The sequence below is a fragment of the Homo sapiens genome, chromosome X (assembly GCF_000001405.40).
Source record: "Homo sapiens chromosome X, GRCh38.p14 Primary Assembly".
Taxonomy (NCBI): Eukaryota; Metazoa; Chordata; class Mammalia; order Primates; family Hominidae; genus Homo; species Homo sapiens.
In genome coordinates, this window is record NC_000023.11 from 115,654,280 (window position 1) to 115,666,537 (window position 12,258).

At 44.1% G+C, this 12,258-nt stretch overlaps 2 pseudogenes; one reads left to right on the plus strand and one right to left on the minus strand.

Annotated features, from left to right (window-relative positions):
* On the minus strand, positions 5,425-6,233 carry PHF5AP4 (PHF5A pseudogene 4; annotated as a pseudogene).
* Positions 10,514-12,060, plus strand: ASS1P5 (argininosuccinate synthetase 1 pseudogene 5; annotated as a pseudogene).

Genomic DNA, 12,258 nt, shown 5'->3' on the forward strand with positions numbered 1-12,258 from the left:
CTGGTCTCGAACTCCTGACCTCAGGTGGTCCACCCGCCTCAGCCTCCCAAAGTGCTGGGATTTCACAGGCATGAGCCACTGCACCCGGCCATTCCTTTTTTTTTTTTTTTTTTTTTTTTTTGAGATGGAGTCTCCTCTGTTGCCCAGTCTGGAGTGAAGTGGTGTAATCTCGGCTGACTGCAACCTCCGCCTCCCAGCTTCAAGCGATTTTCCTGCCTCAGCCCACCACGCTCAGGTAATTTTTGTATTTTTAGTAGAGATGGGGTTTCACCATGTTGGGCAGGCTGGTCTCGAACTCCTGACCCCAGCCTCCCAAAGTGCTGAGATTACAGGTGTGAGCCACCATGCCCGGCTGTTAGCCACTGCACCCGGCCTTAATTATTAATAGTTAGACATTATTTACTTTGAAAGTAATTATTGATATGTTAAGGCATAAGTGTGCCATTTTATTATTTAGTTTATGTTTGCTTGCTCCACTTTTTGTCCTTCTGTTCCCTGCCTCTTATCTTTTGATGAGTCACTTGAACGTTTTTTAAAATTCCATTTTGATATGTCAATAGTGTTCTTGAATATAGTTCTCTTTTTATTTTTATTTTTTGAGACAGTCTTGCTCTGTCATCCAGGCTGGAGAGCAGTGGCACTATCACGGCACCACTGCAGTCTCAACCTCCTCCCGAGCTCAAGTGATCCTCCCCGCTCAGCCTCCCGAGTAGCTAGGACTACAGGCTCATGCCACCACATTCAGCTAATTAGTTTTGTTGCTGTTGTTGTTTGTTTGTTTTGGTAGAAACGAGGTTTTGACATGTTGCCCACGCTGGTCTCTAACTCCTGGGCTCAAGCAATCTTCCTGCCTTAGCCTTGCAAAGTGCTGGGATTACAGGCATGAGCTACCTCGTCCGGCCAAATATGTCTTATTTTTTAAGGACTTGCTCTAGGTGTTAGTATATACATATGTACCATATCACAGTCTATTACTAAGCAAGATTTTAGCACCTCAAGTGAAGTACCTCACTTTCATTTAGATCACTTGACTCTCTCTACCTGTTAAATAAATATAAATGCTTTAAGCAGTTTCTCTACATACATTGAGCACCGTGTTAGATGATATAAATTTGGCTTCAACTCTCAAATAGTACCTTTAAAAAGCATGAAGAGAAGCTTAGTTTATTATATTTACCTCTGTCATAACCATTCTATTTTTCTTTCTTTCTTCCTGGGGTCTCAGCATCCTTAGGTTATAGTTTCCTTTCTCTTTGGAAAACTCCCTTTAGCCTGTTAGCCATTGTTTAATAACAGGTCTTCTAGTAAAAAATTCTCTGAGGTTTACTTCATCTGAGAAAGCCTTTATTTCCCTTTCCGGGACTCTTTTTACAAGGTCCCATGAGTTGAGCCTTACTTGCTACTAGACCTTGGTGAGCTTATCAAGAGTCTAGACTAGAATTTTACCTCTCACACCAAGAAATGTCACATACTTGATAAAATTTAACCTTCTTAGTAAGTGACTTTGTGATCTGATTCCTGTCTAGCCCTGTCTCTTACTACTCAATGCCATTCTCAAATTGTGTACCCACAAATATACAAGCACACATTGTTTACACATGCACACACACACACATACACATATATTTTGACTAAATGAGATGCCAGTAAATTTGAGCTACTTTTTTTAGCAAGAGATATGCAAAACACACATGCTCACACTAACTCTGAATTTATACTGTTGTTGCCTATACCTTGAGCTGGAGTTGGAGGATGAAATGCAATCACGATATGGTGTGAGGAACCAAATGGCCAACAATTTAAATATGCACAAAGGTCTCTCATTTATTCTAAGCAGAATGTCTGCTAATTCTGTAAGAATATATGTGTGACTTGAATGGTTTGCATCTCATTAAATTTAATGTATTTGGCTGATCATTCTCCCTGGATCACACATTATTCTCCAGCTACTGCCACTTTTCTCTACTCTCCCTTCCATAAAAACTTCAAAAATTAGTCTTTACTTTCTTTCTTTCTTTTTTTTTTTTGAGACAGAGTCTTGCTCTGTCACCCAGGCTGGAGTGCAGTGGCATGATCTCAGCTCACTGCAACCTCTGCCTCCCAGGTTCAAGAGATTCTCCTGCCTCAGCCTCCTGAGTAGCTGGGATTACAGGTGCATACCAGCACACCAGGCTAATTTTTGTATTTGTTTTAGTAGAGACGGGGGTTTCACCATGTTGGCCAGGCTGGTCTCGAACTCCTGACCTCTAGTGATTCACTCGCCTCGGCCTCCTAAAGTGCTGGGATTACAGGTGTGAGCCACCTCACCCAGCCTGAAATTAGTCTTTACTTTCTATTTCCATTTCCTCTACTCTCAATCTCTCTTGGATCCACTATAATTAGGTATTTTTCCCTACGTTAACAATCATATAGCATGTATCAGAAATTGTGGGTGCTCAGTGACCATTAAGTTCATACGAGAGAAGAAAGGCTGAATACTAATGAGCTAAGCATCCATTTTTTTAGGTTAAAAAATCATAACTGCAAAGGAGGGAAATAATAAAGCAGAAAATAATAAAATAGGAAACGCATGATAAAGCAGATGAATAAACCAAAATTTGGCTCATTGAAAACCTTAATGAAATGTATAAACCTTAGCAAGATTGATCAAGAAAGAAGAGGAAAAGCGTGAAAAACATTAAAAATAAAAAAGGCTGGGCATGGTGGCTCACGCCTGTAATTCCACTACTTTGGGGACGCCAAGGTGGGAGGATTGCTTGAGCCCAGGAGTTCGAGACCAGCCTGGGCAATATACCTCATCTCTACAAAAGATTTGGAGAAATTAGCCTAGTGTGGTGGCATAGTCCTGTAGTTCAGCTATTCAGGAGGTGGAGGTGGGAGGATCATTTGAGAATAGAAGGCAGAGGCTACTATAAGCCAAGATCACTGTACTGCACCTCAGCCTGGACAACAGAGGAAGACTTTGTCTCAAAAATAAAATTAATTGAAGTTAAAAATTTTTTTAAAGTAGATATGCAGATACAGTCGCTGTTTGAACTGGTAATAAGATATTATGAAAAATTCATGATAGGCTGGGCGCGGTGGCTCACACCGGTAATCCGAGCACTTTGGGAGGCGGAGGCAGGCAGATGGCTTGAGGTCGGGAGTTTGAGTCCAGCCTGATCAACATGGCAAAACCCCGTCTCTACAAAAAATACAAAAATTAGCCAGGCATGGTGGCACACATCTGTAATCCCAGCTACTCGAGAGGCTGAGGCAGGAGAATTGCTTGAACCTGGGAATCGGAGGTTGCAGTGAGCCGAGATCACGCCACTGCATTCCAGCCTGGATGACAGAGTGACACTCTGCCTCAAAAAAAACACAAAAAATTCATGATAAAATTGCAAATTTGAATGAAGTGGACAAATAACTAGAAATGCAACATACTGTAAAAGACTCAATAAGTAATAAAAAATGTGAACAGTTCCATAACTCAAAATTTTAATCTGTATTAAAAATCTTCCAACAAAGAAAAGCATGGCGACCATATGATTTTACTACTGAATTTTACCATTCAAAAAAAATAATAATTCTCAGGCCGGGCATGGTGGTTCACGCCTCTAATCCCAGCACTTTGGGAGGCCAAGGCAGGTGGATCACCTGAGGTCAGGAGTTCGAGACCAGCCTAACCAACATAGTGAAACCCCGTCTCTACTAAAAATACAAAATTAGCTGGGCGTGGTGGCGCATGTCTGTAATCCCAGCTACTCAAGAGGCTGAGGCAGGAGAGTCACTTGAACCTGGGAGGCAGAGGTTGCAGTGAACTGAGATTGCACCATTGCAATCCAGCCTGGGCAATGAGCAAAATTCCGTCTCTTAAGAAATAAATAAATAAATAAATAAATCTCATCTTTAACAAAATCTTTCAAAGTTTCAAAGTCTGGAAAGACAGGTGAAAGTCCCCATCTCATTTCATCAGGGTACCACGTAACCTTGTTAACAAAGCCAGAAAAGGAAAGTATGAGAAAAGAATTACAGGGTAATCAGACTTATACTTGTAAAAATTCTAAACAATATTGGCAAACCTACTGCAGAAACACTTTTTATTATAAAAAGTGATGTGAAGTACATCATGACCAGAGTGGTCAGAATAAGTATTTGCTAAAGTTCAAAATCCAGCAATTAATGGTTTAGAGGAATAGCTCTGCTATGGAATCCAGAGATCTTGCATATCTCCTCATAGACCTTATATGCAACGTGCAACCACATTCTGACCCAAAACTTGCCTAGAACATGGAAAGATAGTCTTCTAAAGAGCTGTCACAAGGATATTTCTGTTCTCTCTCCTTATCTTGTGAGAGACTCCCTATCTTGTGGGAGGCTGCTATGAGCAGTTTTTCATTCAATTTTCTGGTTCCAATGAAGCATGGGATTTTCCACGTTAATCTCTTTTAAGGTACAGTGGAAGTCTATAAGACCACTTAGTTGCATTCTAGAGTCAGCTCTTCAGCAACATAGTGACCTGCCACTCCTGTTGTCTGTTGCTTGGCCCTCTGGTTCAATATTTTCCTGTGGAACTGGGGTTGCACAGAGCTAAGACCATGCCAATTGCTTTTGCAGTCTGTGTAAGTAACACATTGTCTGAATCTTTTAGGGCTCATTGTCTCTTTATTAGCCAAATCTGTAGAAGTGTGATAAGCCTACCTAGCAGCTGTTATCAGCTGGTGCTTAGGAAATGCTTGATTTCTTGACACATGATGATGGGAAAGCCTGGGAGTGGTGGCTCAAGCCTGCAGTCCCAACAATTTGGGAGGTTGAAGTGGGAGGATCGCTTGAGCCTAGGAGTTTGAGAACAGGCTGGGCAACATGGCGAGACCCCATCTCTACTAAAAATACAAAAATTAGCTGGGCATGGTGGCACCAGCCTAGAGTTCTACCTACTCTGGAGGCTGAGGCAGGAGGATCACCTGAGCCCAGGAGGTGGAGGTTACAGTGAGCTGAGATCATGCCACTACCCTCTAACCTGGGTGACAGAATGAGACCCTGTCTCAAAAAAAAAAAAAAAAAAAAAAGGCCAGGTGCGGTGGCTCACGCCTGTAATCCCTGCACTTTGGGAGGCCAAGGTGGGCGGATCACAAGGTCAGGAGTTCGAGACCAGCCTGGCCAACATGGTGAAACCCTGTCTCTACTAAAAATACAAAAATTAGCCGGGCGTGGTGGTGCATGCCTGTAATCCCAGCTACTCGGGAGGCTGAGGCAGGAGAATTACTTGACTCCGGGAGGCGGAGGTTGCAGTGAGCCGAGATTGCGCCATTGCACTCCAGCGGGGGTGACAGAGCAAGACTCCATCTCAAAAAAAAAAAAAAAAAAAAAAAGAAAAGAAAAAAGAAAAAAGTGAATATCTAAAAGGCAAAATTATAAATGTACTTAAATATATGGGAGACGTAGGAGCTATGGCTAAACATCATCTGGATTTGATCATTTGCCACAAGCAGGATGCTATGTGAAAAATGTGATGGCAAGTGTGTGATTTGTGACTCCTATAGGTGCATCCTTGCACCCTGGTGTGCATAGGTGATGAATGTAAGTATAGATCTTACCAGGGGCATTGTGTGATCTGTGGAGGTCCTGGGGTTTCTGATGCCTATTGTTGTAAGGAGCTCACCATCCAGGAGAAGGATAGAGATGTCTGCCCAAAGATTGCCAATTTGGGGATCTCTAAGACCTCTTCTATGAACGTAAAAAATGTGACTTCAAGAAGAGGTGATTGGTGGGTGGCAAGAGGTGATTGTTGGTTGGCCCCTTCCTCCTCCACATCAAGCTGCTGCAGCCGGCAAAAAAGACGGCTACTATTACCAGCAGAAAGGGAGTGGAGCCCAGGGCATCAGGAGAAGTGCCTGCTAGTGTACCAGCACCTTGCCACTCCTTTTTCTCTCTTCAGCCAGATGTGTGGTAGGGATGGAAAAGAATTCTCCACAGAGCACTCTGGTACACTGTTATCAGAGAAAAATTGACAGATTCGTTCATGGGTTTTTTTGAACTTGAGAAGCAAAGCTCTGTTCTCCATATTGATATGTTCACCCTAAAACAATATCTTCTAAAAAGAGATAATATTTCAGTCTTCTGCTTGAGGAGTTGACTGTGAAGCTATGCCCAGTGAAAAACGTGTTCTTGCAGCAGCTCTTGTGGAAGTTGTCCTTGAAAAAACTTTGGTGTGTGGTCGGAAGCTATCAGATCAGGAAATGTGGACATTTAATCTTGTAACACTTACCAGGCGGTGTTGGTTTCATGTTATTTTCCTTCTGAGAAATTGGAAGCCCTTCTGTTGCTATTATATTAATTAAAATTGATGTTTATTTGCTGGTAAAAAAATAAATATGCAGGAGAATATCTTGCTAACATTGGAGGTAGAGAAAGATTTCTTAATACACAAAATTCACAAGCTGTAAATACTAAAATTTATATTTTTGTCTGTATTTACATCTTCTCTTCTACATTTCTTTTTTTTTTTGAGACGGAGTCTCACTCTGTTGCCCACGCTGGAGTGCAGTGGCACCATCTCGGCTCACTGCAAGCTCTGCCTCCCAGGTTCACGCCATTCTCCTGCCTCAGCCTCCCGAGTAGCTGGGATTACAGGTGCCCGCCACCACCCCCAGCTTATTTTTTTGTATTTTTAGTAGAGACGAGGTTTCACCATGTTGGCCAGGATGGTCTTGATCTCCTGACCTCGTGATCCGCCCACCTCGGCCTCCCAAAGTGCTGGGATTACAGGCGTGAGCCACCGCGCCCGGCTACATCTTCTCTTCTTCAAAAGACATTATGGAAATAGTGACAGGACAAGGCAAAAACTGAAAGGATATATTTTCAAATAAACTCCAAAGGATTAGTATTCAAAATATAAAATGAGCCAGGCGTGGTGGCTCACGCCTGTAATCCCAGCACTTTGGGAGTCCGAGGCGGGCAGATCACCTGAGGTCAGGAGTTTGAGACCAGCCTGGCAAACATGGTGAAACATCTGTCTCTACTAAAAATATAAAAAAAGTTTAGCCAGGCATGATGGCTCATGCCTGTAGTCCCAGCTACTCGGGTGGGGCACGAGAATTGCTTGAACCCGGGAGGCAGAAGTTGCAGTGAGCCAAGATCACACCACTGCACTCTAGCCTGGACAACACAGTGAGACTCGGTCTCAAAAAAAAAAAGACCAACTGATAGGAAAAATGGGAAAAACCCAACGTGGGCAACATGGCAAGACCCCATTTTTTATAGGTATATATATATATATATATATTTAGCTGGGCTTAGTGGCACGCATCTGTACCCCAGCTACTTGGGAGGCTGAGGTGGGAGGATTGCTTGAACCAGGGAGGTTGAGGCTGCAGTGAGCTGTGATTGCCCCATTGCACTCCAGCCTGAGCAACGGAGTGAGAATCCATCTCAAAAAATAACAAGAAAAGACAGAAAAAAATGAGGAAAAAATTTGAATAAGGTCGTTATAAAAGAAAGAGAAGGACGGGCATGGTGGCTTATGCCTGTAATTCCAACACTATGGGAGGCTGAGGCAGGCGGATCACCTGAGGTCAAGAGTTCAAGACCAGCCTGGCCTACATGGTGAAACCCTGTCTCTACTAAACGTACAAAAAAAATCAGCCGGGCGTGGTGGCATGTGCCTGTAATCCCAGCTACTTGGGAGGCTGAGGCAGGAGAATAGCTTGAACCCAGAAGGTGGAGGTTGCAGTGAGCCAAGATCGCACCACTGCACTCCAGCCTGGGCAACAGAGTGAGACTCCGTCTCAAAAAAAAAAAAAAAAGAAAAGAAAAGAAAAGAAAGTTTCATCTGCTTGTCTTTGTCCATTTTGTGCTCATGAGAAAATGTTTAACTTAGGAATCAGAGAAATATAAATCAAAGCTCAATAACGTATTAGAAGAAAATGAAAACTCTGAGGCCGGGCGCAGTGGCTCACGCCTGTAATCCCAGCACTTTGGGAGGCTGAGGTGGGCAGATCACCTGAGGTAGGGAGTTCGAGACCAGCCTGACCAACATGGAGAAACCCTGTCTCTACTAAAAATACAAAATTAGCCGGGTGTGGTGGCACATGCTTGTAATCCCAGCTACTCGGGAGGCTGAGGTAGGAGAATCACTTGAACCTGGGAGGCAGAGGTTGTGGTGAGCCGAGATCACGCCAATGCACTCCAGCCTGGGCAACAAGAGCGAAATTCCATCTCAAAAAAAAAAAAAAAAAAAAAAAGAGAGAGAAAGAAAAGAAAATGAAAACTCTGATAATATAAAGTATTGGCTAAGATGTGGTGCAATAGGAACACTTATATTCTCTGATGGCAGTGCAAATTTGTACAACTACTATGGAAATAAATGGACATTATCAAGTAAAGTTGAAAATGAGCATACCGGCTGGGCACAGTGGCTCATGTCTGTAATCCCAGCACTTTGGGAGGCCAAGGTGGGTGGATCCCAAGGTCAGGAGATCGAGACCATCCTGGCCAGCATGGTGGAACCCCGTTTCTACTAAAAATACAAAAAAAAAAAATTAGCTGGGCGTGGTGGCAGGCACCTGTAATCCCAGCTACTCGAGAGGCTGAGGCAGGAGAATCGCTTGAACCCGGGAGGCGGAGGTTGCAGCGAGATAAGATCACACCACTGCATTCCAGCCTGGATGAGAGAGCGAGACTCCATTTAAAAAAAGAAAAGAAAAAGAAAAAAAAGAAAAGAAAATGAACCTACCCTATGACCCACAGTTTCACTTCTAGGCATATACCCTAGAGAAATCTTATACATGTATACCAAGAAACATGCTATGCTATGCTAGCATTCATAATAGCAAAATAACTGGCAACAATCCAAGTTTCTATCAGCAAGAGGATGGATAAATTGTGATTTACTGAAATACTCAAATACCATACAGCAATGAAAAATAACTAAACTGCAGTCACATGCATTACTATAGATCAATCTCAATAATGTTAAAAAGTCACAGAAGGCTGGTTGCAGTGGCTCACACCTGTAATCCCAGCATTTTGGGAGGCCGAGGCCAGTGAATCATTTGAGGTCAGGAGTTTGAGACCAGCCTGGCCAACATGGTGAAACCCCGTCTCTACTAAAACTACAAAAAAATTAGCTAGGCATGGTGGCACACGCCTGTAATCCCAGCTACTCAGGAGGCTGAGGCACGAGAATCGCATGAGCCTGGGAGGCAGAGGTTGCAGTGAGCCCAGATCACGCCACTGCTTTCCAGCCTGAGTGACAGAGTGAGACACCATCTCAAAAAAAAAAAAAAAGTCACAGAAGAATCCACATACTATATGATTCCCTTTGTATAAAGCTCAAAACCATGCAAAACTAAGAATCGCATATCAGTACAGATATAGCCATAGTCAAACTATAATGAAAAACTAGGGAATAAAAAAATTAAGAATAATAATTATCTGGTTGGGGAGGGGCCTTCAAATAAATGTATGGGTAGTGTTCTATTTCCTAAGCAGGGGTCATGGGTGTTTGTTGTTTTGTTGGTTTTTTTTAAAAAAATCTTTTTTAGAGAGTAGGTATCACCATGTTGCTTATTCTGGCCTGAAACTCCTGGGCTCACGCGATCCTCCCATCTCAGCTTCCCAAGTAGCTGAGAGTACAGGCATGTACCATCACACCCAGTTTATACTTTTTTATTATTACTCATTAAAATATACACTTTGGGCTGGGCACAGTGGCTCATGCCTGTAATCCCAGCACTTTTTTTTTTTTTTTAAAGACAGAGTCTCATTCTGTCACCCAGGCTGGAGTGCAACGCCACAATATTGGCTCACTGCAACCTCCGCCTCCCAGGTTCCAGCGATTCTCCTGCCTCAGCCTTCCTAGTAGCTGGGATTACAGGTGCCCACCACCATGCCCAGTTAATTTTCTTTTTTTGTATTTTTGGTAGAGATGGGTTTTGCCATGTTGGCCAGGTTGCCCTCGAACTCCTGACCTCAGATGATCCACCTGCCTCAGCCTCCCAAAGTGCTGGGATTATAGGCGTAAGCTACCACGCACCAGGCCAATCCCAGCACTTTGGGAGGCTGAGGCAAGTGGATCACTTGAGCTCAGGAGTTTGAGATCAGCCTGTACAACGTGGTGAGAACCCATCTCTACAAAAAATACAAAAATTAGCCGGGTGTGGTGGTGCACACTGGTAGCTCCAGCTACTTAGGAGGCTGAGGCAGGAGGATCACCTGAGCCCAGGGAGGTTGAGGCTGCAGTGAAGTGTGATCGTGCCACTGCACTCCAGCCTGGGTGACAGAGTGAGATCCTATCTCAATAAATAAATAAATAAATAAATAAATAAATAAATAAATAAATAACATGTACATTTTGGTTGAAAAAGTCTTGTATATGTGATATTTAATAAAAATTAAAATAAATTACAGTTGATTCTTCCATAAACTAGAATAGTATGAAGCCTCTTAAAAGTTATATTTTTATCAATATTAGTGACATTTATATGTGCCCCCATAGATTGTAAAATCTCATTTTTAAAAGATAAACAGCCCTGCTCCATCTCCTGCCACTGCTGCCCAGGCCCAAGTGGTTCACTGCACTGTTAAGACAGATTCCAGATGCCGGGAACTCGTGCCTCCAATTCCAGATGCTATGTCCAGCAAAGGCTCTGTGGTTCTGGCCTACAGTGGCGGCCTGGACACCTCCTGCATCCTCGTGTTACTGAAGGAACAAGGCTATGACATCATTGCCTACGTGGCCAACACTGGCCAGAAGGAAGACTTTGAGGAAGCCAGGAAGAAGGCACTGAAGCTTGGGGGCAAAAAGGTGTTCATTGAGGAAGTCAGCAAGGAGTTTGTGAAGGAGTTCATCTGGCTGGCCATCCAGTCCAGCGCACTGTATGAGGACCACTACCTCCTGGGCACCTCTCTCACCAGGCCCTGCATCGCCCGAAAACAAGTGGAAATCGCCCAGCAGGAGAGGGCCAAGTAAGTGTCCCACAGCGCCACAGGAAAGGGAAATGATCAGGTCCAGTTTGAGCTAAACTGCTACTCTCTGGCCCCCCCAGATAAAGGTCATTGCTCCCTGGAGGATGCCCAAGTTCTACAACAGGTTCAAGGTCCGAAATGACCTTATGGAACACACAAAGCAACACGGGATTCCCATCCCAGTCACTCCCAAGAACCTGTGGAACATGGACGAGAACCTCATGCAGATCAGCAATGAGGCTGGAATCTTGGAGAACCCTAAGAACCAAGCATTTCCAGGTCTCTCCACGAAGACCCAGGACCCGGCCAAAGCCCCCAGAACCCCTGACATTCTCGAGATCGAGTTCAAATAAGGAGTCCCCATGAAAGTGACCAACGTCAAGGATGGCACCACCCACCAGACCTCCTTGGAGCTCTTCCTGTACCTGAACGAAGACGTGGGCAAGTACAGCTTGGGCCGTATTGACATCAAGGAGAACCACTTCACTGGAATGAAGTCCCCAGGTATCTATGAGACCCCAGCAGACACCATCGTTTACCATGCTCATTTAGACATCAGGGCCTTCACCATGGACCGGGAAGTATGCAAAATCAAATAAGGCCTGGGCTTGAAATTTGCTGAGCTGGTGTATACCGGTTTCTGGCACAGCCTTGAGTGTAAATTTGTCCACCACTGCATTGCCAAGTCCCAGGAGTGAGTGGAAGGGAAAGTGCAGGTGTCCGTCTTCAAGGGCCTGGTGTACATCCTAGGCCAGGAGTCCCTCTGTTTATCTACAACGAGGAGCTGGTGAGCATGAACGTGCAGGTTGATTATGAGCCAATCGATGCCACCAGTTTCATCAACATCAATTCCCTCAGGCTGAAGGAATATCATCATCTCCAGAGCAAGGTCACTGCCAAATAGACCCCTGTACAATGAGGAGCTGGGGCTTCCTCAATTTGCAGATCCCCCAGGTACAGGTGCTAATTGTTGTGATAATTTGTAATTGTGACTTGTTCTCCCCAGCTTTGTTCCCTGGTCCCCCTGAAGCCTGCCAACGTGGTCATCAAAGGGAAGGGTGGAGGGGCAGCTGCAGTGGGGAGCTATAAAATGACAAAAGATGCATTCGTTAAAAAAAAAAAAAAAGATAAACAAGCTAGGCGTGGGGGCTCATGCCTGTAATCCCAGAACTTTGGGAGGCCAAGGCAGGAGGATTGCTTGAGCCTAGGAGTTTGAGACCAGCCTGGGCAACACAGTAAGACCTTGTCACAATAAAATATAAAAAATTAGCCAGGCATGGTGGCACCCATATTAGTAGTCTCAGCTAC